Here is a 23,446-nt window from a genome sequence, read left to right on the forward strand (position 1 = left end):
GCTGGGATCACAGTTGCCCACCACCACGCCCAGCTTTTTTGTATTTTTAGTACAGACAGGGTTTCACCATGTTGGCCAGGCTGGTCTCGAACTCCTGGCCTCAAGTGATCTGCCTGCCTCAGCCTCCCAAAGTGTTGGGATGACAGGCGTGAGCCACACCGCACCGGGCCACAGCTAGGAACTCCTGATGTTCTAGGAGGATGTCTCACATTGGAAGGAACCCCGTCCTCCCCCGGGGGCAGCCACAACACAGAGGCAGGGACACAGCACCGAAGCTTCTCACATCTTTATTGGAAAGGCACAGCTAAGCCCACCCTTGATACAGCATTTTCCACTTCTCTCTGTAGAGATCAGACGATTGAACACGAGATAAGCTGACTATATACAGACACAGGTGTGGGTGTTGCTTTTTTTTAAAAACACTTTTGTCTTTTTTTTTTTTTAATATCCCCTTTCTTAAAAGACAAGCTAGTATACTGGAAAAAGAAAAAAATAATAATAAAATAAAAACCAAGACAACTTTAGTACCCTCATCTTTATTTGGGAAGGGGAGGGGGAATCCTGGGTCGCCCACCCTCACCCTGCTCCTCCCAGCTCAGCTAAGCTCGTCCCTCGTGCCCCCCCTTTTGTGGGCGATGGGAGAGGACCAGGTGGGCGTGGAGGTGTCTGGAACTAGCAGAGGTGGTGAGTGGGGCAGGTGGAGGTGGGAGCATACCTGGGACCCGGGGTCGGGGGAGACTCGGGGTGCCCAGGACGGGAAAGGGGCAGCTAGCATTGCGTGCATGCAGTACCAGGGTGAGAGGGCTGTGGCCCAGGCAGACTGTCGGTTACACATGTTCAAAACGGGGGAAGGGCCGGGGCTGCTGCGCTTCGCGAGGTCTTGCTCCCTTGGGACCTGGTCTCCCATCTGACCCTCCAGGCCTTAGCTTGCCTCACATGTCAGGGCAGGTATCCACCTAACCAGGCTGCAGGGGAGGAGGAGGGAAGCCGGGAATGGGGTAGGAAGAAAGCTAGAGGTGGCCTGCAAGCTGGGCTGGGGCCCCCGCCGGCGGCCACCATAAATACTATGGGAGTTTAGCCAATCCCGAGCTCCGCTGTGTCTTGTGCTAAACATTCCTTTCTCTCCGTGCCTCTGTCTCCCCTCTGTCCCCCCTCCCAACCTCCCTGTCCCGGCCCCCTGCTAATCCGACTTCTCGCCATCATCCTCCTGGTGGGTGTCACCATCGTGCCCGTTCTTGTCTTCCTTGGAGAGGTGGGCCTGGGAACCCAGCGCGGACAGCGAGAGGAGGCCGGTGCCTGCGCTGACCGCCGGCAGCGAAGGCGGCTGCAGCCCCACGGGTAGTGGGGTCAAGGGCAGGGCCAGGGCCTGCAGCTGGGACAGCTGGTGGGCTTGGAGCTGCTGCTGCAGGGCGGGGGAGGGGAACATTAGCTGCCTGGGGCCCACCTGTCCCCCGCCCACCCGCCCAGGTCCCCATACATACTCGGATGATAGAGTTCAGCTCGGGAGCGGTGACCTGCTTGGCCCTCTCAATGGCTCCCAAGACCTGCTGCTGGTGCTGGAAGGGGGTCGGGGGAGAGGAGAGGCAGTGATTCCTCCTGATCCTGGGAGAGGAGAGGGGGACGGCCCTGAGGCCAGGAGGAGCCCCACTACCAAGTGGGCCATCATGTCTGCTCCTCCCAGTGGTTTTCAACCCCATCAGAAAGCACCCTCCCTCTCTCCAACTGCTTCCTTTCACCAAGCTCGTCTCTTCGTCTGGCCAACAGAGACAAATGGAAAAGTGCAGAAAACAATTAAAAGGGTTTTGTGCTAAGTAGTTAGGAAACAGCTTTTGAGTGAGCCCGGGAGAAACCCTGGATCCTGACCTATCCTATGTGCACAGCCACCTGCAAAGATGTGAAACATGTGAATGTTTGTGCAGTACACAACCTGCCCAACTGTACAGGGACGTCCTGATCCTAGGAGCTCCAAGACTGTGCCCTGAGTCTGGCCAAATTGAGCCCTTCTCCTACCATGGCTGGGGAGGGCCCAATGAATTCTGGCAGGGCTGGCTGGGGAATGGGCTCAGATTCAGGGCAGTTCCTCCCTGAGCTCTCCCCAAACACCTGACTCTGTGGCCAGCAGATGCTAGAATCTACCAATCTCCCTTTTTGCCTTGGCTACCAGGAAGCCTCTGTTCTGAAGGGCTCCAAGTGCCCTTTTCTCTAGGGCTTTCATTGGGTCCTGCTAAGACTTGTCCCTGGGCAAAGCAGGGCACCCAAAGGATCCTGAGATACCCACAGGGATTGAAGAGGAAGTTACAAACTTTTGACAGTAAACTTGGCAGGGACAGGAGATGGGCCTTACATGGCCCTGGGGAGGGGCGGCCTCGCATCCTGAGCCTCAGAACCCAAGAAAGGAGAAGAGGAGCTGGGCGTCAGGTTCATCTGGGTGTGTGTGTGCATGTGGTAATGTGTGCTCAGGATCACGTGTGCCCACGTGTAGCTGCACATTCCTGCATGCGTGTCCCTGTGCTGTCTGCACACACGTGTATCCGTGTCTGCATCTGTGTATCTCCCGTGTGTTGATGTGCTCGTGCCTATCTGTGTGGCTGTGTCCATGTGTGACCACCCTGTGCTACCCCTTCCCCCACAATCCCCTAACACCCTCTAGTCCTTGGTCCTGTGCAGCCCGCATGGCCTGGAGGAGGATGTCTCAAGAGGGTGAAAGGAGGAAGAGAGATGAGAAAAAAACATTCCTGGTGCAGTTTAGGCCCATCTGACATTTCTACCTATGACATGACTCACTCCAGCTGGGAATTCCAGAGCAGGGTGAGGCCCGCCCCCCACACGCCTGCACCCCTGGAGTGTCTCTGGCCCGGGGATTCTTCTGCACAGGCCGGCTCTGGTGTTCAGAGCCAGGGAGGTCCAGAGAGGGGAGGCGTGTGCCCTGGGGCGCCCAGCACACCACCCAAGATGGCTGCAGTGGACAGGGGCTGGGCAAGTGCGGGGCCCCCTCACAACCCCTCCCCAAGGCCCTGGCTCTTACCTCTTGGGAGAGGTAGGGCAGGACCTGGGCACAAATCCCGTTCAGCCTTTTGACGATCTCAGCCTGGAACACACAGATGAAGCCGGCTTCAGTCCTGGGCGGGTGGCAGGTGCAGGCTAGCCACAGGAGGCCTGCGCGGGGCCCGGCCCAGCCCTGCCACTTGCGGCTTCTAAGAGGGGCTAGGTCTGGCCAGGGTGGGATGAGCAAAGCCGTGTTCGGGCCCGAGGGCAGCCAGTCAGTGGCAAAGGTGGGGCTGGACACCGGCTGTCGCCTGCAGCTTAGAGTGAGGTAAGTGCAGGATGAGGCCAGACTGCACATTCCTCGGGGGTCGGCCACTCAGGCCCCTGGCAGGTAGTAAGCGCTTGTGCGAATGTAGGGAGGGCTGGGGGCCGTAGGCTGTGGGGAAGGTCTCTGCCCCTCCCCACCACCGGGAGAAACACTCCCAGGGAGGCCTGAAAAAGAGGCGGGGCGGGGGGGAGGAGAGCGGGAGCTTGGGGAGGGCTTAGGAGGTAACAGGATAACCGGGCTGGCTTGGTGCCCAGCCGAGGGCCGGCCGCTACCTGCCTGGGGGTGCCCAAGGCGGGGCTGGAGGTGGGGGGAGGAGGGGGAAGGAGGAGGAGGAGGAGGAGGAGGAGGAGATGGGCGTACCTGTTTGTGCATCTCGATGTTCAAGCCGTAGGACATCTCGTAGTACTGTATGGGGGAGAGAGAGGGGGAGCGGGAGATGGGGGTGGGGAAGGATGGGGGGACACGGAGACAAAGAGATAGGGGAGTGGCAGAGACAGACAAAGGGGGGAGACAGCAAGAGACAGCTGAGGGCAGGAAAGAAAGGAGAGGCAGGTGGGAGGGAAAGAGGAGGGAGAGACGCCCACACCCAGCATCCCAGCCCGCCCTGGAGAGGGGCAGGGGGCCGCTGGGGCTGCGGATGGAGACTGGGGGCACTTTAGGTCCCTAGCCCTGGCCTGGCTCCTCCCCCACTCCATGTGCACCGCGAGAACACGCATTCCAGGGCTCCTAATCTTGTATCTTTCTATGTCTTGTCTGCGGGTGGGCCCAGACGCCAGGGAAGTTTGCCTGCCTAGGTATAAACAGTGAGGGGTAAACAAAGCCTGCTGGCTCTGGGGCCAGCAGCTACCCCCACCCCAAGCCCCAGATCTCACCCTGCCCCTCCCCTGCTCTAAACCCTCCCATGGCTCCCTGTCACCCCTGGGGGAAAACCAAGTTCATTCCCAGGCCTTCACGTAGTTTCTCTGTCTCTGTCTGGTGAACTCCTACTCATCCTGCAAGACCCCAGCTGTGTGCCCCATTTCTCCATATAGTCTTCCTCAGGCAGGTCCTAGGTCCCTCTCTCTGACCCCAGCCCTATTCTTCTGGCTGGGAGGGTCAGGGTCTGGCTCTGCCTCCCCCACAGTCTGGGAGATTTGGGTACTGGGCTGAGACCCCAGCATCGCTGCTCGAGGGCCAGGCCAAGGGTGGGTAAGGGAGGGGATTTTTGATGCAGAAATCGTCACCTGGCAGTTACAAAACCGAGCAAGTGGTTCTGGCAGCAGCAATGCAGTGTCACACATCAGCCCCCCGAAATGGGTAGGGCTCAGACCCCCTCCCACAGGCTTCTTCTTTGAGCTCGGGCCCAAAGGGGTTAAGCGTGTGGACGCTGGGACCTTGGCGGTGGGGAGGGACTCGGCTGCTCCCCCACGTCAGTTCCTGGCTGTTGGCTTTCACAGCCGGTGAGCCTCCCTCTCCTCCCTCCTCCGCTGCCAAGGACAGCCGGGGGACCTGGCAGGGCCGGTCTGCAACCCGGCGGTTTGGCACCTCGGCCACTGCCTCGGCCATCTGCCAGGCTAGCGAGGCAGGCTCAGCCCAGCAGGGGCCGGCTGAATGGAGAACAGGCCCCGATCCTCGCGCTTCCCAGGGGAGGTGGCCGGGGTTGAGGGAGCAGCTGCCCGTGGTGGAGGGGATGTGGAGGGCCCTGTCGCCCGCCCCCAACACTGGACCTGGGGGCGGAGTGACGTTACCATCACATAGTGACGCTGCATCTCTGACTTCTCACTGGCCAACTTGTCACATTCGAGCTTGAGGCTGAGGAGGCACAGGGGGGAGATGGGGTGGTTAGTGGCGGCTGGGCGGGAGCCCCCCACCCTCCGTTATCCAGGGGAGGAAACTGAGGCTCCAAGTCCCCTGTAAGGGCAAGATCAGCCAATTCTCAGAGGGTCAAGCAATAATTTTTTTTTTAAATTGAGACGGGGGTCTCCCTATGTTGCCCAGGCTGGTCTCAAAAACTCCTGGGCTCAAGCAATCCTCCTTCCTCGGCCTCCCAAAGTGCTTGGGGTTACAGATATGAGCCACCCACCGTGCCTGGTCAATGAAGCCGTAAACTTTCATAGGGGCTGAGGACATTGAATTGAGGGGCAGGGAAGTTGGTAAGAGTTGAGCTCTCTGTGATGCTGCGGGGAGGGGAGAGCATCAGGGCCCCTGACTGTAAGAAGGGGGTGATGAAACCACCCTTGCAGATCTGGTTGGGGGGAAATAAGCAACATTATAGTAACATTATAGGAACAACAGAAGTTAGAGGGGGCACGGTAACGCTAGCTCTGAGAGTCTCACGAGCCTTCACCTCTCACGGTCCCGACGAGGCCCGCAACGTCATTGTCACGCTCCTTTTATAGATGACACAGTGGACACCCAGAGAGGGTGAGGAACTGGCTCAAGGTCACACAGCCAAGCAGCAGCCCAAGCTCTCAACCACAGGGGAAAATTTTCCAGACCCAAATAGAACGTACAAAGAGGCTGAGAGGGTCTGGGGCTGCAAGGCGGCTCCCGGCTGGACTTCCCAAGGGGACCCTAGCTTCATGGGGGGCCTGGACTTCCCAGGCAGACCCCTCAGCTCCCTCTTAGTCCTTCCTAACAGCCTTTTTTCTTTAGCTGGGACAAAACACACCATTTCTCCCACTCCACCTGGCCAGTCCGGGTGGCTGACACCAGAGCTTCCTACAGGCCCTCCCGGGAAGGATGAGCTGTGGGGCGTTTCTCAAAGCCCCCATGAGGGCGTCATGGCCGGAGGGAAGAGAGCAGGCAGGAGGGCCTCCCAGTCCAGGAAAAGAACTGGTGATGGTGGTGGGGGAGGTGTCCTTTAACCTACTTAAATCCAACCCAGCACAGGGGCCCTGCGGACCTGGCTGTGGCTTACCTGCTTCTGCCATCCCCACCCCCTCTCGGACTGGGTTCAAAGCTCAGCCCTTCGTCTTCCCTGCTGTGTGACTCTAGGCAAACTCCACTACCTCTCTGGGCTTCATTTCCTCCTCTGTGAGGTACCACTAACAACCTCGCAGGGTGGGGTGGAGAAGAGTCAATGAATTCAGACAAGAAAAGTTCTAGAACAGTACCTGGCATACAGTAAGCATCCCATAAATGCACATGGATCTTAGGATACCCCAGGAACCTGGCATTTTGCTCCACCGGAGAAGAGTGTGCCGGGTTAGGGATGCTTTGGCCGCCACCAATTTTTCTCTAGTTTTCTTTTAAAATGTGCATTTGTTGCTACCATTAAAAACAAAAACAAAAACAAAAAAAAACCGGGGCTGGGTGCAGTGGCTCACGCCTGTAATCCCAGCATTTTGGGAGGCCAAGGCGGGTGGATCACTTGAGGTCAGGAGTTTGAGACCAGCCTGGCCAACATAACGAAAGCCCGTCTCTACCGAAAATACAAAAATTAGCCGGGTGTGGTGGTGCACGCCTGTAATCCCAGCTACTTGGGAGGCTGAAACAGAAGAATCGCTTGAATCCCAAAGGTGGAGGTTGCAGTGAGCCGAGATCGCGCCACTGCACTCCAGCCTGGCGACAGAGCAAGACTCCGTCTCAAAAAAATAAAATAAAATAAAAAAGAAGTTTCACTCCAAAGCCTGCATTTCTGGCCTTTCTTGAAAAATAGGATGGTCTGGCCACCCAGGGGCTGTTACGCCTCGAACATCCGGTGTGTGCCTCTGATATGGTAGGGTCCCTCGTTGGACAGCAGGAAGCCCAGGCCCAGCGGATGGAGACCCCAAAGCTCAGAGAGGGCTTCCGGCTTAGCAGAGGTCACACAGCACTGTGACCGCCATCTGATCCCTTCCCTGTGGAATCAGGTCAGCCCCGGGGCTCACCAGGCGGTATCCAACCCTTCATATCGAGGAACCCGCACAAAAGCTTCTGGGGCCTGCATGGAAAGCTGACTCCAGCACCTTCGACTGTCAGTGTCTCAGTTTGCCCAGCTTGAGAATGGGTACGACAGTCGGACGACAGGAAGGATGAAGCACGAGGAGGCACGAACGGTCTTGAGCACACAGGGAGTACCCAAAAAGGTGGGATATTTGCAGCAGCAACAACAAAATCGAGATTCCCCTTTCTACTTGGAGGAAATCCAGGATCCTTCCAGGAACACTTCTGGGGTGGGCACGCTTCAGTTTAGAGAGGGCCCCAAGGCCAAACGGGGGTTTGAGCATAGCCTGACTTTCTCCAGATTCCCAGGCCCGGCGTGCCCCTCCAGAGCAGGGCAGGCGAGAACCTATATCCTTAAACCAGGAGAGAGACCTGGTGCAAACCTCAGCCTTGCCACTTCCTCAATGCTATGGACACCCCCGAGGAAATAACATCATAACATCTCTGGGCTTAAGTTTCTTTTTTTCTTTCTTTTTTTTTTTTTTTTTTTTTTTTGAGACAGAGTCTCCCTGTTACCCAGGCTGGAGAGCAGTGGCTCCATCTCTGCTCACTGCAACCTCCGCCTCACGGGTTCAAGCAAGTTTCCTGCCTCAGCCACCCGAGTAGCTGGGATTACAGGCGCCCGCCACCACACCCAGCTAACTATGTATTTTTGGTAGAGACGGGGTTTCACCATGTTGGCCAGGCTGGTCTCGAACTCCTGACCTCAAGTGATCCACCTTCCTCGGCCTCCCAAAGTGCTGGGATTACAGGCATGAGCCACCACGCCTGGCCTGGGCTTAAGTTTCTTTAAGTGTAAGAGGACTAAATAGTTCCTTCCCCTTAGATACCGCAGCGTGGCAAGCTCTTCAGAAACGCCAGATTTCTGAAAGAAGCAGCACCTTGGAGAATCTGACGGGTGCTGGGAACCCTTTCTCCAAAACTGGGCAAAGAGAGAGATGACCAGGCTGCAGAATGTTTCTGTTTTGGGGGTTGAGGGATGGCGAGTCCGTGCCGTAACTCCAATTGTTGGAAGGTCTTTTATCCAATGGGGGACTTGGGGGTATTGGGGAGGAGGGAGGGGCTCTGAAGCCACACAGCTGAATCTTTGGGCAAATTATTTAACTATTTTTGTGCCTCGGTTTTCTCCTCTACAAAATGGGGCTGTTTAAAATAAATGAATTCAGTATTTGTCAAGTGATTAGGTCAGAGTCTAGCATATATTATTTTCCCAATCTCCAGGCCTCAGCCTTGCCATCTGCGCAGAAGAAATGGGGGGACTCACATTCTCGGGACGCAGGGACCCCCAGTCCCCCAGCTCACCTGTGGTACTGAGCTTGCAGTAGCTGAAATTCGTCTTTGATGCGGTCGCAGGAGTCCGAGGTGGTGAATTTGAGTTGCTGGGGTAGGTGCGAGGAGCCCTGTAGGGATGGGGCGGCCCGGGTCAGGCCCAGGCGTGGGCTGGACCCCCCTCAAGGGCCGGCTAGGAGGGAGCGGCCGCGCAGCTGCGGCGCCCCCCCTCCTGCCCCACTTCCTGGGCCCGTGTTTACGGCCCCTGGCGCGACCCCACCCGCGCTTCCTGCCCCCCGCCTCTCCCGGGGGAAGCCGAGCGGGTGGGTGCGCCCGGAGCCGCCCCGTCCCCCGCCACCCCCAGGCAGTGGGGGTGCGTTTTAAGGCCCGCCCTAGATGGGGGGCAGGGTGCGCCCTCTACCGCCCTCCAAAGCGCCGGGAGGGAGTGCACATCCGAGGGGGGTAGAAACGCGCCCTAGGGAGCCCCCTCCCCAAGTTGGGGGGCAGCGATTCCTCCCTGCAAAGTCCTCTTGGGGGAGGGGTCTCTCTCTCGGTGCTCGAAATCTTCCGGGGGGGCCCAACCCCAGATTCCCAGCGCCCTTCCTCGGGGACACGCTCTTCCGGGAGGGGTGCGCCTCGGATCACCCCCCCCACCACAGGCCCCCAAAGGATCCCCGGGCTAGAGGTGCCTCGCGGGGCTTCCGGAGCGCCCCAGGCCCGAGGCCAAGGCCGTCCGAGGCCCTGACTGTCCCGGCGGGTTGGGGGGGGGGGGCGCCAAGCCGGGAGCTGCGGCGGGGGGGCTCGGGGCCCGGAAGCTGGGGTGGATCGGGAACTGGAGGGGGGGTGTCCGGGGGCCGGCGGCAGGAGGGGAGGGGGGTCGCGCCGGGCTGGGAGCTGGAGAGGGAAGACAGGGCCGGGGAGTTGGGGGGGGCGCCGGGCCGGAGGCACCGGGCCTGGGGGTTGGGGGGCGCGGGGCCGGGAGCCGGGGGTCGGGGGCGTAGGGCCCGGATCCGGGGTGGGGGCGCCGGCCGGACGGGCCCCGCTTACCGAATGCCTGCTTTGTGGAAACATCATGTCAATCGCGGCGGGGGGCGCGGGCTGCGCCCCGGCTGTGCGCCCCGGCTCGGGCTGCTGGGGGCGCCGGGCGGCCGCGCCTTTGTCCCGGCGCCGATCGGCAGCTCCCGGGGCCGCCGCCGCCTCCCGCGCCCGGCCTCGCCCGCTTCCTGCGCCCCCTCCCCGCGCGCCCGGCCCCGGCGCGCCCCGGGCCCCGCTTCCTGCGCGCCCGGCGCCCCTCCCCGCCCCTCCCCGCCGCCCGCCTCCCCGCTCCCCGGCCCCACCGCTATTGTCTAATGGCGGCGACGCCGGCAGTGGCCGCGGCTCGGCTGCTGCGGAGGCTTCGGCTCCACCTGCCGCCGCCCGTGCCCCGTGCGCGCCGCCGAGGGGGGGGACGCGCGCGCCCGGGGAGGCCTGCGGATCCCCACGCCGGCCCGCCTCCCCGTGGCCCGCCCGCCGCGGTGACCTTGGGCCCGGCCCGCCCCCGCCCCGGGCAGCGGCCCCCGCCACCCTCTCCTACCCGGCAGCCGGCCGGGCCTCGGTTTCCCCATCTGTCAAAGAAAAGGGACCCGGCTGCCCGCGTCGAAGCCGCCGGCCCTGCTGTGGCACGACCTGGACGCGTGCCACGGACGTGCTCTGTGACCTTGGCTCTGGCTGGGCGGTGGTTCTTGCTGAGCCTTAGTTTCCTTTTCTGCAGAAAGGCAGCGGTAATGCCGCCTTCCTGAGGGAAGCCATTCTTGTGACACATTTATAGAACGCCTACTGTGTGCCAGGCCCCGCTGCTCCAGGGCCCTGGGGTGGGGCGGGGCGGGGGTGGGTCCCTGCCCTGGTGGTGGTGCCTGGAGACAGACAGAGACAAATTCACAAGCTGAATTCCTGGCAGGTCAGATGGTGGGGACAGTTCTGCAGAAAAACCAGCCGGGAGAATGGCAGGGTAGGAAGGTGCAAAGTTAAAGAGGTGGGAGGGAGGATCAGAGACGGCTTCCTCCACCCCTAAAGCGACCTGAAGAAGGAGGGAGAACAGGGGGATGGGGTACAGAGGTAGTCAGAGGCAGGACCAACAGGTGCAAAGGCCCTGGGGCAGGACTGTGCCTGGCAGCAGAGTGCCCGGGGGGAGGTCAGGAAGGCCGGAGGGAGGCAGGGCCGGGGGCTTCGTGCTTTTGTCCAGGGCCCCCCCACCCCACAGCAGGGCTTGTGCTTGGGTTAATATTTACTGCTGCATTTTGAGATTTCTAATCATTTTTGAACAAGGGGCCTTTGAGTTTTCTTTTGCACTGGGCCCTGCTAACTCTGTAGCTGGTGAAGCAGGCCAGTCCAGCAAGGACTTGTGGGTCTTGGGGAGGACTTGGGATTTTGCTCTGAGTGAGGTAGGAGCCCTGGAAGGCTGTGGGAGGAGGAGGGACGGGACCTGGTGGTTGGTTGGTTTGTTTTTTGAGATGGAGTTTCGCTCTTGTTGCCCAGGCTGGAGTACAATGGCACAATCTCAGCTCACCGCATCCTGGGTTCAAGTGATTCCTGCCTCAGCCTCCCGAGTAGCTGGATTACAGGCACGTGCCACCACGCCCCGCTAATTTTGGAGTTTTAGTAGAGACGGGGTTTCTCCATGTTGGTCAGGCTGGTCTTGAACTCCCGACCTCAGATGATCTGCCCGCCTCGGCCTCCCAAAGTGCTGGGATTACAGGCGTGAGCCACCGTGATCAGCTGTTTGTTTGTTTTTGAGATGGAGTCTCACTCTGTTGCCCAGGCTGGAGTGCAGTGATGTGATGTTGGCTGACTGCAGCCTCTGCCACCCGGATTCAAGTGATTCTCCTGCCTCTGCCTCCTGAGTAGCTGGGATTACAGGTGCGCATCACCACGCCTGGCTAATTTTTGTATATTTAGTAGAGACAGGTTTCACCATATTGGCCAGACTGGTCTTGAAATCCTGACATCAGGTGATCCTCCCGCCTCCACCTCCCAGAGTGCAGGGATTACAGGTGTGAGCCACTGCGCCTGGCCCTGGACTTGGGCTTTTGCTCTGAGTGAGGTGGGAATCCTGGAGAGCCGTGGGAAGAGGAGGGATGGGACCTGGTGGCGGTTATTAAAGGATCCCTCTCTCTGCCACGCAGAGAACAGGTCCCAAAGAGGCTACTGAAATAAGGCTATGACATTAAGGTCCCCCTTTGGCAGGTGCGAAACACAGTCTCTTCATCATCGTCATCCACTAGGCAGCCTGCTCCCTTGAATGAATGCAATTGATTTGGGCCTTGGGTGTTCCCATCTGTAAAATAGACTTGGAACCCCAGGCTCCTTACCTTGGCAGGTAAGGGTGATAGCCTTCAGTGATCAAGATTAATAATCTTTAAAGCAGTGTTTTAATATTTTTATTAAAAAAAAATTTTTTTTTTGAGGTGGAGTCTCACTGTGTGGCCCAGGCTGGAGTGCAGTGGTGCCATCTCGGCTCACTGCAAGCTCCACCTCCCGGGTTTATGCCATTCTCCTGCCTCAGCCTCCCGAGTAGCTGGGGCTACAGGCGCCCACCACCACGCCCGGCTAATTTTTTGTATTTTTAGTAGAGACGGAGTTTCACTGTGTTAGCCAGGATGGTCTCGATCTCCTGACCTCGTGATCTGCCTGCCTCGGCCTCCCAAAGTCCTGGGATTACAGGCGCGAGCCACCACACCCGGCCTAAAAAAATTTTTTCAGACACAGTCCTCTGTTGCATAGGCTAGAGTGCAGTGGTGCAATCATAGCTCACTGCAGCCTCCCACTCCTGGGCTCAAGTGATCCTCCGACCTCAGCATCCTGAGTAGCTGGGACTACAGGAGTGCACCACCATGCCCAGCTAATTTTAACATTTTTTGTAAGCCGGGAGCAGTGGCTCATGCCTGTAGTCCCAGCACTTTGGGAAGCCGAGGCCAGTGGATCACAAGCTCAGGAGTTCGAGACCAGCCTGGCCAACATGGTGAAACCTCGTCACTACTACAAATACAAAAATTACCGGGGTGTTTTGGCGGGCGCCTCTAATTCCAGCTACTTGGAGGCTGAGGCAGGAGAATCGCTGGAAGCTGGGAGGTGGTGGTTGCAGTGAGCCAAGATCGCGCCACTGTACTCCAGCCTGGGTGACAGAGTGAGACTCTGTCTCAAAAAAAAAAAAAAAAAAAAGATGAGGCTAGAAAGGATTAGGATTTTGGATTTTTAAGATTACTACTACTTGGTGGCCGGGTGTGGTGGCTCACACCTGTAATCTCAGCGCTTTGGGAGGCCGAGGCAGGCGGATCACCTGAGGTGAGGAGCTTGAGACCAGCCTGACCAACATGGAGAAACTCCGTCTCTACTAAAAATACAAAATTAGCCTGGCATGGTGGCTCACGCCTGTAATCCTAGCCACTTGGGAGGCTGAGGCAGGAGAATTGCTTGAACCTGGGAGGTGGAGGTTGCGGTGAGCCAAGATTGTGCCACTGCACTCCAGCCTGGGCGACAAGAGCGAAACTCTGTCTCAAAAAAAAAAGAAACAAAGAAACAGAGATTAATACTACTTAGTAACAGCCAAGCCTTCAACCAACCGCAACACCCTTGTTTTTCCTGCAGGGCCCTGAGAGACTGCGTTCCTAGACTGCCCCTGAAGCCAGTCCTGCCGCTAGCACCCCTGCCACCCCACCCCCACTGCCGTGGGGACCAGACACCCCCTCTCCTGGGAGGCCACCTGCCAGTGTTTATTTAGGCAGGCGCCTTCCGGTATCAGTGTGCCCGCCCAGTGACCAAACAGCCCCATTTTCGAAGCCCCCACACTGTCAGGGGAAGCAGAACTGGACACAGATACCTTGAGCACGGTGAGGTGAGGGCTGGGCCACCCACAGGGACCTAGGCCTGTGAAGGAGAGAGTCATTGTGAAATCATCGTTTTTAGAAAATAGGTTTTTTTTCTGCATAGAAGGCAGCCCAGAATGGTGGCCCACACTATAAATAATCAACCAAGCCACACAGGTCTGTATGTTTTTGCTCCGCACCAGGGGCTGCCTTAAGCACTTTAACCTTTAGGTACAGTTGTCACACCCATTTTAGAGATGGGGGGAAAACAGGCCGGCAGGGTGGCTCAGGCCTGTCATCCCAGCACTTTAGGAGGCCGAGGCAAGCAGATCACTTGAGGATCAGGAGTTTGATACTAGCCTGGCCAACATGGCGAAACCCCGTCTCTACTAAAAATACAAAAATTAAGGCGTGGTGGTGGGCGCCTGTAATCCCAGCTACTCTGGAGGCTGAGGCAGGAGAAGCGCTTGAACCCGGAAGGCGGAGGTTTCAGTGAGCCGAGATCGTGCCACTGCACTCCAGCCTGGGCGACAGAATGAGACTCTGTCTCCAAAAATAAAAAATAAAAAAAAAGAAAACGAAAAAAAATGGGGAAAGTGAGTCACAGAGAAGTGAAGTGACTTGGCCAAGTGGGTAGGGGGCAGAACCACGATGTTATCCCAGGCCTTTGATCTTGACCTTGGGCCTTTGAGCACTCTGCAGTGTGGCTTCTGGCCGGGACACGATGGCAGCACGTGCTGCTGGGCTGAGGAGCTGGGATTTTACCTGGAGGGCACTAGGGAGCCACAGGAGGTTTTAGAGCAAGATTCTTCAGTTAGCGCCATCGCATTCCACCCTGGGCGACAGAGGGAGACTCCATCTCAAAAAATAAAAGTAGATTGCATCAAAATAGTGTTTATCCTGATGACTTAGGTATTTGGCATCCCCTTAGCTTTTTTATTTTTTTTTGAGACAGGGTTCTTACTCTGTCACCCACGCTGGAGCGCAGTGGTGTGACTTCGGCTCACTGAAGCCTCGACCTCCCAGGCTCAAGCAATCTGCCCACCTCAGCTTCTCGAGTATCCGGGATGAAAAGCGTGTGCCACCACGCCCGGCTAATTTTTGTTTTTCATAGAGATGGGGTTTCACCATGTTACCCAGACTGGTCTTGAACTTCTGGGCTCCAGCAGTCTGCCCTCCTGGGCCTCCCAAAGTGCTGGGATTACAGGTGTGAGCCACCACGCCTGGCCCCTCTTAAGTTTGACACCTGAAAAAAGGACCTCACTCTCGGCCGGGCGGGCTCACACCTGTAATCCCAGCACTTTGGGAGGCCGAGGCGGGCAGATCATCTGAGGTCGGGAGTTCGCGACCAGCCTGACCAACATGGATAAACCCCGTCTCTACTAAAACTACAAAATTAGCCGGGCGTGGTGGTGGGTGCCTGTAATACCAGCTGCTCAGGAGGCTGAGGCAGGAGAATCGCTTGAACCCAGGAGGCAGAGGTTGCGGTGAGCCGAGATCACACCATTGCACTCCAGCCTGGGCGACAAGAATGAAACTCCATCTCAAAAAAAGAAGAAAAAAAAAAAGGACCTCACTCTCAAGTACACTCATCCTGGTCCTAGCCCTGCCTCAGTCAAATAGCAAAGTCTGCTTTTTGGACATTCTGGCCCAGATCATTCATTCTCTTGGGGGGCAAGGGGCGTCCTGGGCACTGCAGGGTGCTGAGCGGTGTCCCTGGCCTCTACTCACTCCATGCCAGGGGCACCCCCGAGATGTTCCGCCCACAGGTGTCCCCAGACATCACCCAGTGTCCCGTGGGGGGCACAATGACACGAGAATGAGCACCCCTGGCTTAGAGCATGGAAGAAACAGGGCAGCTGGTGGTAGAAGATTCTCCCCGGTAGTGTGATGGGAGGATTAGGCGAGAGATGGGCAGCCTGGGCTGGGCCCATGGCAAAGAGCTTTTTTGGGGAGCATAACAAGAACAGAATGCAGATGGCGGGAGGGTGAGGAAGGGCAGACAGCTTGCCGCAGGAGGGAATGTGTAATTAATTGGCGAGAATTGGGGTTTAAGCACATCACAGTGTCTGGGTGGCTGCCACTGAGCCCCCCTACCCCACACACATAACCCCCCACCCCCGTCCCTGACCCCACGTGTCCGGCTCACGGTCCTTCCTCTCCCTGGGATTCTCAGGGCCACATCTGGGGCCAAGGCGGGGCGGGGATCTGTCTCATGGATCCAATCGTCTGAGACCAGGCTCAAGGCCTGGTTACAAATGAGCGCTGGGCCCCGCGGCCTCCAGGGCAGAGCCTGGCGCTGGCGCGTGATGGATGGGGCCGCATGGCCATTAATCACAGGCCGGGGAGGAAACAGGTGGCCGCCGTGCAGAAGCAGGGACCTCCCTCTGCTGGGCCCGGGTGGAGGTAGGACTCAGCTGTCCAGCCCTGGGGTTGAGCTCCCGGACTGCTGCTACCTGGCCGGGTGACGTGGGGCCATGAGAGCTCACTGCTCAAGACCTTAGGGTCACCCCACTGCTACTCCCAAATGCAGCTTCAGATACTTAGAGAGCAGTTACTGTGTGTCAGGCATGCTTGTAAGTGGAGGTTCTGAGCAGTGACCAAGGAGAGAAATCCCCCCACTCCACCTTTTGGAGCTGATAAGCTTAAAACTTTTATTTATTTATATTTTTGGAGACGGAGTTTAGCTCTTGTTGCCCAGGCTGCAGTGCAGTGGCACGATCTCGGCTCACTGCAACCTCTGCCTCCCAGGTTCAAGCGATTCTCCTGCCTCAGCCTCCCGAATAGCTGGGATTACAGGCGTGAGCCACCACGCCTGGCTAATTGTTTGTATTTTTAGTAGAGATGGTGTTTCTCCATGTTGGCCAGGCTGGTCTTGAACTCCTGACCTCAGGTGATCCACCCGCCTCGGCCCCCCAAAGTGCTGGGATTACAGGCGTGAGCCACTGCACCTGGCCCCATTCTTGATTGAAGTGTCACTCTCTCAATGAAGCTGCCTTCAGCTTCCCTATTTGACTGAGGCAGGGCTAGGACCAGGGTGAATGTACCTGGGAGTGAGGTCCTTTCTTAAGGCATAAAACTTAAGAGAGGCAGGGTGAGGTGGCTCACGCCTGTAATCTCAGCACTTTGGGAGGCCAAGGAGGGCAGATTGCTTGATCCCAGAAGTTCAAGACCAGCCTGGGTAACATGGTGAAACCCCAACTCTACAAAAAACAAACAAACAAAAATTAGCCAGGTGTGGTGGCGTGTGCCTGTTGTCCCAGCCACTCAGGAGGCTGAGGTGGGAGGATTGCTTTAGCCCGGGAGGCTGAGGCTGCAGTGAGCCAAAATCACACCATTGCACTCCAGCGTGGGTGACAGAGTGAGACCCTGTCTCAAAAAAAAGAAAGAAGGCTGGGCGCGGTGGCTCACGCCTGTAATCCCAGCACTTTGGGAGGCCGAGACTGGCGGATCACAAGGCTAGGAGATGGAGACCATCCTGGCGTGCGCGCACACACACACACACACACACACACACACGCCGGGCGTGGTGGCGGGTGCCTGTAGTCCCAGCTACTCGGGAGGCTGAGGCAGGAGAATGGCGTGACCCCGGGAGGTGGAGCTTGCAGTGAGCCGAGATCGCACCACTGCACTCCAGCCTGGGCAACAGAGTGAGACTCCGTCTCAAAAGAAAAAAAAAAAAGAAAGAAAAAAAAAGTTAAGGGGATGCCAAATACCTAAGTCATCAGGATAAACACTGTTTTGATGCAATCTACGTGTTTTTTTGTTTGTTTGTTTTGTTTTTTGAGACAGAGTCTCGCTCTGTCGCCCAGGCTGGAGTGCAGTGGCATGATCTCGGCTCACTGCAAGCTCCGCCTCCCGGGTTCACGCCACTCTGCTGCCTCAGCCTCCCGAGTAGCTGGGACTACAGGCGCACGCCGCCACGCCTGGCTAATTTTGTTTGCATTTTTAGTAGAGACGGGGTTTCACCGTGTTAGCCAGGATGCTCTCAATCTCCTGACCTCGTGATCCACCCCCCTCGGCCTCCCAAAGTGCAGGGATTACAGGCGTGAGCCACCACGACCGGCCCACTTTTTTTTTTTTTTTTTTTTTTTGACGGAGTCTGGCTCTGTCGCCCAGGCTGGAGTGCAATGGCGCAATCTCGGCTCACTGCAACCTCTGTGATCCACTCACCTCCCCTTCCCAAGTGCTGGGATTACCGGCATGAACCACCGCGCCCAGCCAACAATATTTTAACAAATCAAAATTAATGAAAAAAAATCCACAATGAACAAAATATCAAAATGTTAAATAAAAATCTTGCATAACTCACTCAGACTGCCTCCTAGGCCCAGCTCATAGAGGCCTCAACCCATATTCCGCGTGCAGGTCATGAGGTCAGCGTTTTCCCTGCTCCATGGGACACAGCACTGTCTGACGTGTAATGCGGTTTGTGTGTTTACTTTCTTGAATGTAGGCCCCGGGAGGCAGGGGGTTTGGTGAGTCCTGGTCACTTTTGTATCCTCAATACCTAGAACAGGGCCTGGCTCAGTATAAATGCCCAATAGTTACTGAATGAGTGAATGAATAAATGAATGGGTTAAGATGACACACCAGGTTGTTGCAGAATTAAATGAGATAAGACCCTGGAAGTAATTAGCACACAGCACCCAGTTGGCTCCTGACATCCTTAATCTACACCTTATGGCCTGAGTACAATGTTCTGATTGGCCAGCCCTGGGTCACATGACATCCTTGAGACAAATTTTATGGCTCGAGTAGAATGCTCTGATTGGCCAGCCTTGGGTCACATGACTTTTCTTTTTTCTTTTTCTTTTTTTTTTTTTTTTTTTGAGACAGAGTCTTGCTCTCTCGCCCAGGCAGGAGTGCAGTGGCCGGATCTCTGCTCACTGCAAACTCCGCTTCCCGGTTTCACGCCGTTCTCCTGCCTCAGCCTCCTGAGTAGCTGGGACTACAGGCGCCCGCCACCACGCCCGGCTAATTTTTTGTATTTTTAGTAGGGACGGGGTTTCACTGTGTTAGCCAGGATGGTCTTGATCTCCTGACCTCGTGATCCACCCGCCTCAGCCTCCCAAAGTGCTGGGATTACAGGTGTGGGCCAGCAGGCCTGGCCTGGACAATTACTTCCTCTGAGAGGCCTTCTCTAACCAGTCATATGGAAAAAACAAAAAATATTGTTATTATATCACTCTATTTTATTGTTATCTATTTTTATTTATTTATGTTTATTTAACATTTTGATATTTATTTATTTTTGAGACGGAGTCTCGCTCTGTCACCCAGGCTGGAGTGCAGTGGCATGATCTCGGCTCACTGCAACCTCCGACTCCCGGGTTCAAGTGATTCTCCTGCCTCAGCCTCCTTAGTAGCTGAGATTACAGGCATGTGCCACCACGCCCGGCTAATTTTGTAGTTTTAGTAGAGACGGGGTTTCTCCATGTTAGTCAGGCTGGTCTCGAACTCCTGACCTCAGGTGATCCCCCCCGCCTCAGCCTCCCAAAGTGCTGGGATTACAGGCATGAGACACCGCGCCTGGCCCAATTTTTGTATTTTTAGTAGAGATGGGATTTCACCTTGTTGGCCAGGCTGGTCTCCAACTCCTGACCTCAGGTGATCTGCCTGCCTCAGCTTCCCAAAGTGCTGGAATTACAGGTGTGAGCCACTGCACCCTGGCTGGGCTGATTTTTTTTTTTTTCCAAGAGTCAGGGTCTCACTATGTTGCCCAGGCTTGTCTTGAACTCTTGGGGTCAAGCAGTCCTCCCACCTTGGCCTTCCAGAGTGCTGGGATTACAGGCATGAACCATCGTGCCTGGCCTAATTTTATTTTATTTTTTTAGTCAGTGTCTTGGGCTGTCATGCAGGCTGGAGAACAGTGGTGCCATCATAGCTGATTGCAGCCTCGAATTCCTGGCCTCAAGTGACCCTCCCACCTCAGCCCCTCAAAGTGCTGGGACTAGATGCGTGAGCCACCAGGCAGGCCAGCTGTCATCTTTATTATCTGTCACCCTGAAAGATCCATGAGAGTAAGGAGCGGACTGCCTTCTGCACTGCTGTGTCCCAGGGCACAGCTTGGGGTCTGGCAAAGAATTTCTACTCAGTGCAAACATCAGGTCTTAGTGAAATGAAAGAATGAGTTAGTATTTATTTATCTGGAGATGGAGTCTTGCTCTGTCCCCCAGGCTGGAGTGCAGTGGCATGATCTGGATCTCGGCTCACTGCAACCTCTGCCTCTCCTCCCGAGTTCAAGCAATTCTCCTGCCTCAGCCTCCCAAATGGCTGGGATTAAAGATGTGTGCCACCATGCCTGGCTAATTTTTGTGTTTTTTTGTTTGTTTGTTTTTGGAGACGGAGTCTTGCTCTGTTGCCAGACTGGAGTGCAGTGGCGCGATCTTGGCTCACTGCAACCTCCACCTTCTGGGTTCAAGTGATTCCCCTGCCTCAGCCTCCCCAGCAGCTGGGATTACAGGAGTGTGCCGCCATGCCTGGCTAATTTTTTGTATGTTAGTAGATATGGGGTTTCACCATGTTGGCCAGGAGGGTCTCGATTTCCTGACCTTGTGATCCGCCCGCCTCAGCCTCCCAAAGTGCTGGGATTACAGGCGTGAGCCACCGTGCCCTGCCTTAATTTTTTATTCTTAGTAGAGACAGGGTTTTGCCATGTTGACCAGGCTGCTCTCAAACTCTTGACCTCAGGTGATCCACCTGCCTTGGCCTCCCAAAGTACTGGGATTACAGGCGTGAGCCACTGTGCCTGGCTGACAGTAATTATTTATTATCCCCATATTCCAGATGAGGAAACTGTGGCTCACAAAGGGGCGATCATGGATTTTGTCTGCCTTCCTCTCCACCCCCAGAGCTCTGTCACACAACATGGCTTTATTGAACACTTGCACGCCTGGTCTTCGTCTAGATATTAGGGATACAGTGACCCACATAGCTCCAACCTTACAGCCTAGCAGGGGAGCCAGACATTAATAAAATCACTATACAAACATATGTGGTTATAATCCCTCAGCAATCCCATTGGCTCCAGCTTTACCAATATACCCAGAATCCAATCAATTCCCACTAACTATAGGGTTACCATCCTGGCTCATATCCCCATCAACTTGTTCAGTGCAGCAGTCTCTCATCTCACGTCGTATTTTTTGAGTGGATGTGACAACGGAATAACAATAACAAAAAAAAAAAAACGGAATGGCTTAAGTCCATGGAACTGAACATTCATGACATTAGGGCTGACTTCAGGCATGGCTTGATCCAGGGGCTCCAACATTATCGGGATCCTGTGTCACTGTGCATAGCTGGGACAGCTGTCTCCCATGGCAGCAAACAAACACCGTTCCCCAGCAGCTGTAAGCTTTCATCCTCCCAGCTCAGCAACTCCAGCCAATTCCTTCTGCTTAATTACAGCATGTCTCAGGACTCATTCTCATTGGCCAGGCTTAGGTGACATGACATCCCTGATATAATCCCTATGTTCTGGCTGGAATACTCTGATTGGCCAATCTTGGGTCACATGACTTTTCCATTTCAATCTTTTTTTTTTTTTTTTTTTGGAGGGGGGAGATGGAGTCTCATTATGTTGCTCAGGCTGGAGTGCAGTGGCATGATCCTGGCTTACTGCAACCTCCACCTCCCGGGTTCAAGTGATTCTCCTTCCTCAGCATCCAAGTAGCTGGGACTACAGGCGCATGCCACCACACCTGTCTAATTTTTATATTTTTAGTAGAGACAGGGTTTCAGCATGTTGGCCAGGATGGTCTCAATCTCCTGACCTCGTGATCCACCCGCCTCGGCCGCACAAAGTGCTGGGATTACAGGCATGAGCCACTGCGCCTGGCCTAATTTTTGTATTTTTCTAGAGATGGTATTTCACCATGTAGGCCAGGCTGGTCTCGAACTCCTGACCTCGTGATCTGCCCGCCTCAGTTCCCCGAAGTGCAGGGATTACAGGCATGAGACACCACGCCTGGCCTGTTGTGGTTTTGAGATGGGGGTCTTTTTATGTTGCCCAGGCTGGTCTTGAACTCCTAGACTCAAGCCACCCGCCCCCCCTTGGCTGCCCAAAGTGTTGTGATTACAGGCATGAGCCACTGCACTGGGCCAAATGTGTTTTGTTTTTGTGCTTTTCACCGTCCCCAGCGCCCCCAGCTGCCGGCCTTGGGAGCCTGGTGTTGGCAGGACTGTGAGTCACTGTTGGGGTGTTTAAGGGCCTTTAAAAGGTGTTCCCAGCATTTCCCGGGGGCTGTGCACTAATTAGGTGATTAGTAGGCTGACTCCTGCAGATGTCTCCCTGGGGATACCGGGGGACTGTGGGGAGCAGGGAAGTGTGGCTGCCTACTTGGCCTGCCCTCCAGAGGCCCCATTGCCTCCCCATAGACACCCAAGGGGTAAGTGCCAGCCTCAGCTTTACGACAGGTGGGCTCTGTGTCTCTGGACAAGTGGCTGTCCCTCTCTGGTCCCATCTATCTGCTTTCCCATCTATCTAGTGGGCTGTGGGCATATACTATGGTCCTGTAGGAGCCAGAGCCACTATTCTTGCTCTGTTACTCAGATACCTCTAACCTCTCCTCCCAGCAAAATAATCATCCCCTTTATCATAAATGGCTGAGGTTTACCAAATTTTCTCAGAGCCCCAGCACTGATCCAGGCCTTCAAGGTAGGCGCAGTTATTACTACTTTTTTTTTTTTTTTTTTTTTAAATTTCAGAGACAGGGTCTGGCTCTGTCCCCCAGGCTGGAGTGCAGTGCATGATCATAGTTCACTGCGCCTCCACCTCCCAGGCTCAAATGATCCTCCCAGCTCAGCTTCCTGAGTAGCTGGGACTACAGGTGCACACCACCACACCTGGCTAATTTTAAATTTTTTTGTAGAGAAGGGGTCTCCCTATGTTACCCAGACTGGTTTTGAAATACTGGGCTCAATCGATCCACCTGCCTCGGCCTCCCAAATTGTTGGGATCACATTTGTGAGCCACTGTACCTGGCCAAATTTTGTGGGGTTTTTTGTTGTTTGTTTTTTTGAGACAGAGTCTTGCTCTGTTGCCCAGGCTGGAGTGCAGTGGCATGATCTTGGCTCACTGCAACGTCCACCTCCCAGGCTCAAGCAATTCTCCTGCTTCAGCCTCCCGAGTAGCTGGCATTCCAGCTGCCCATGACCACACCCAGCTGATTTTTGTATTTTTAGTAGAGATGGGGTTTCACCAGTTTGGCCAGGCTGGTTTTGAACTCCTGACCTCAAATGATCCGCCCACCTCAGCCTCCCAAAGACCTGGGGTTACAGGCATGAGCCACAAAAATTGAGTCCAATCTCTGCTCACACCAGAGACCAGGATAAACTCCCAATGGGCCAGACAGCGTAAACCAGGGGGCCCCAGCTCCTGGGACTCACCTCCTCTCTCCCTCCCCACTGAGGGTGTGGATTTCAATGTGTACAGCCTCCTAGACCCAGTAGGGCAGATGATCATGGGACACAGAGTCTCTTGGGGGGGTCCGTGGAATCCCATAACCCAGGGGGTCTCAACCAGGGTGATTCTGCTCCCAGGGGGCACTGGGTGATGTCTGGGGACATTTGTGGTTGTCACAATGGTGGGTACTCTTGGCATGGAGTGGGTGGAGGCCACGGATGCTGCTCAGCACCCTGCAGTGCCCAAGACGGCTTCATCCCAGAGAACTATCTGGCTCCAAATGTCCACAGCGGCCAGGGGAGAGACCTCATTCCAGAGCTCGATAGCCACCAACCATGCATGGTTACTTAGGTTTACACTGAGATGGATGGAAACGGGCCAGGCTGTAATTAACCCCAGCGCTTTGGGAGGTCGAGGCGGGAGGATTGATTGAACCCAGGAGGTCGAGGCTGCTGTGAGCTATGATCGCGGCCCTGCATTCCAGCCTAGGTAGCAGTGACAAGCTGTAGATAGATAGATAGATAGATAGATAGATAGATAAAAATGAGATGAAAGATGCATTTCCTCAGTTGCCCTGGCCACGGTTCAGGGGCTCAGCAGCCCACCAGTGACCACCACGTGGGACGCCACGGAGCTAGAATGTAGGCGATGTGGCAGAAAGTCCTAGCGGGCCGCGCAGCGCGGAGACCTCCCCGGGTGCAAACGCTC

At 56.0% G+C, this 23,446-nt stretch overlaps 1 protein-coding gene and 1 long non-coding RNA gene across 6 annotated transcripts, besides 9 other annotated features; both read right to left on the reverse strand.

The window, feature by feature from the left end:
• Positions 272–10,328, reverse strand: TLE5 (TLE family member 5, transcriptional modulator). 4 transcript variants are annotated; one of them, XM_006722664.2, is made up of 7 exons: positions 10,062–10,328; positions 8,522–8,619; positions 5,041–5,104; positions 3,674–3,718; positions 3,026–3,088; positions 1,482–1,556; positions 272–1,399 (listed from the first exon to the last, which is right to left on the reverse strand). In XM_006722664.2, the coding sequence occupies exons 1-7, from the start codon at positions 10,287–10,289 to the stop codon at positions 1,181–1,183; spliced, it is 792 nt and encodes a 263-aa protein (XP_006722727.1). In that variant the 5' UTR covers positions 10,290–10,328; the 3' UTR covers positions 272–1,180. The 4 variants fall into 4 exon arrangements, with proteins under 4 accessions (XP_006722727.1, NP_945320.1, NP_945321.1 ...); NM_198969.1 differs by having other exon boundaries at positions 272–1,402; NM_198970.2 differs by lacking the exon at positions 10,062–10,328 and adding an exon at positions 9,536–9,857.
• Positions 1,970–2,535: an enhancer, noted in NCBI's record as "H3K4me1 hESC enhancer chr19:3054606-3055171 (GRCh37/hg19 assembly coordinates)". NCBI's record gives its function as "activates a minimal SCP1, AML or CMV promoter by ChIP-STARR-seq in primed H9 embryonic stem cells {active_cell/tissue: H9 hESC(primed)}" and the evidence as "EXISTENCE:reporter gene assay evidence [ECO:0000049][PMID:30033119]".
• Positions 4,795–5,359: an enhancer, noted in NCBI's record as "H3K27ac-H3K4me1 hESC enhancer chr19:3057431-3057995 (GRCh37/hg19 assembly coordinates)". NCBI's record gives its function as "activates a minimal SCP1, AML or CMV promoter by ChIP-STARR-seq in primed H9 embryonic stem cells {active_cell/tissue: H9 hESC(primed)}" and the evidence as "EXISTENCE:reporter gene assay evidence [ECO:0000049][PMID:30033119]".
• Positions 5,360–5,924: an enhancer, noted in NCBI's record as "H3K27ac-H3K4me1 hESC enhancer chr19:3057996-3058560 (GRCh37/hg19 assembly coordinates)". NCBI's record gives its function as "activates a minimal SCP1, AML or CMV promoter by ChIP-STARR-seq in primed H9 embryonic stem cells {active_cell/tissue: H9 hESC(primed)}" and the evidence as "EXISTENCE:reporter gene assay evidence [ECO:0000049][PMID:30033119]".
• Positions 6,878–7,081: a silencer, noted in NCBI's record as "fragment chr19:3059514-3059717 (GRCh37/hg19 assembly coordinates)". NCBI's record gives its function as "represses an EF-1alpha promoter that drives an FKBP-Casp9 reporter gene in an ReSE screen in K562 erythroleukemia cells {active_cell/tissue: K562}" and the evidence as "EXISTENCE:reporter gene assay evidence [ECO:0000049][PMID:32094911]".
• Positions 8,671–8,940: a silencer, noted in NCBI's record as "silent region_9822". NCBI's record gives its function as "represses an Ori minimal core promoter by ATAC-STARR-seq in GM12878 lymphoblastoid cells {active_cell/tissue: GM12878}" and the evidence as "EXISTENCE:reporter gene assay evidence [ECO:0000049][PMID:35858748]".
• Positions 9,863–10,072: a silencer, noted in NCBI's record as "silent region_9823". NCBI's record gives its function as "represses an Ori minimal core promoter by ATAC-STARR-seq in GM12878 lymphoblastoid cells {active_cell/tissue: GM12878}" and the evidence as "EXISTENCE:reporter gene assay evidence [ECO:0000049][PMID:35858748]".
• Positions 13,133–13,322: a silencer, noted in NCBI's record as "silent region_9824". NCBI's record gives its function as "represses an Ori minimal core promoter by ATAC-STARR-seq in GM12878 lymphoblastoid cells {active_cell/tissue: GM12878}" and the evidence as "EXISTENCE:reporter gene assay evidence [ECO:0000049][PMID:35858748]".
• On the reverse strand, positions 13,308–22,836 carry LOC105372242 (uncharacterized). 2 transcript variants are annotated; one of them, XR_001754027.2, is made up of 4 exons: positions 22,723–22,836; positions 17,642–17,839; positions 14,095–14,188; positions 13,308–13,390 (listed from the first exon to the last, which is right to left on the reverse strand). It is a non-coding gene; the product is annotated as an uncharacterized LOC105372242 (long non-coding RNA). The 2 variants fall into 2 exon arrangements; XR_936250.4 differs by lacking the exon at positions 22,723–22,836 and adding an exon at positions 17,923–18,014.
• Positions 14,231–14,439: a silencer, noted in NCBI's record as "fragment chr19:3066867-3067075 (GRCh37/hg19 assembly coordinates)". NCBI's record gives its function as "represses an EF-1alpha promoter that drives an FKBP-Casp9 reporter gene in an ReSE screen in K562 erythroleukemia cells {active_cell/tissue: K562}" and the evidence as "EXISTENCE:reporter gene assay evidence [ECO:0000049][PMID:32094911]".
• Positions 20,633–20,927: an enhancer, noted in NCBI's record as "tiled region #11171; HepG2 Activating DNase matched - State 9:DNaseU, and K562 Activating DNase unmatched - State 5:Enh". NCBI's record gives its function as "activates a minimal TATA promoter and a strong SV40 promoter by Sharpr-MPRA in HepG2 and K562 cells {active_cell/tissue: HepG2 | K562}" and the evidence as "EXISTENCE:reporter gene assay evidence [ECO:0000049][PMID:27701403]".
• Positions 22,837–23,446: the final 610 nt, after the last annotated feature.

Source organism: Homo sapiens, chromosome 19 (genome assembly GCF_000001405.40).
Source record: "Homo sapiens chromosome 19, GRCh38.p14 Primary Assembly".
In the NCBI taxonomy this organism is placed as follows: domain Eukaryota; kingdom Metazoa; phylum Chordata; class Mammalia; order Primates; family Hominidae; genus Homo; species Homo sapiens.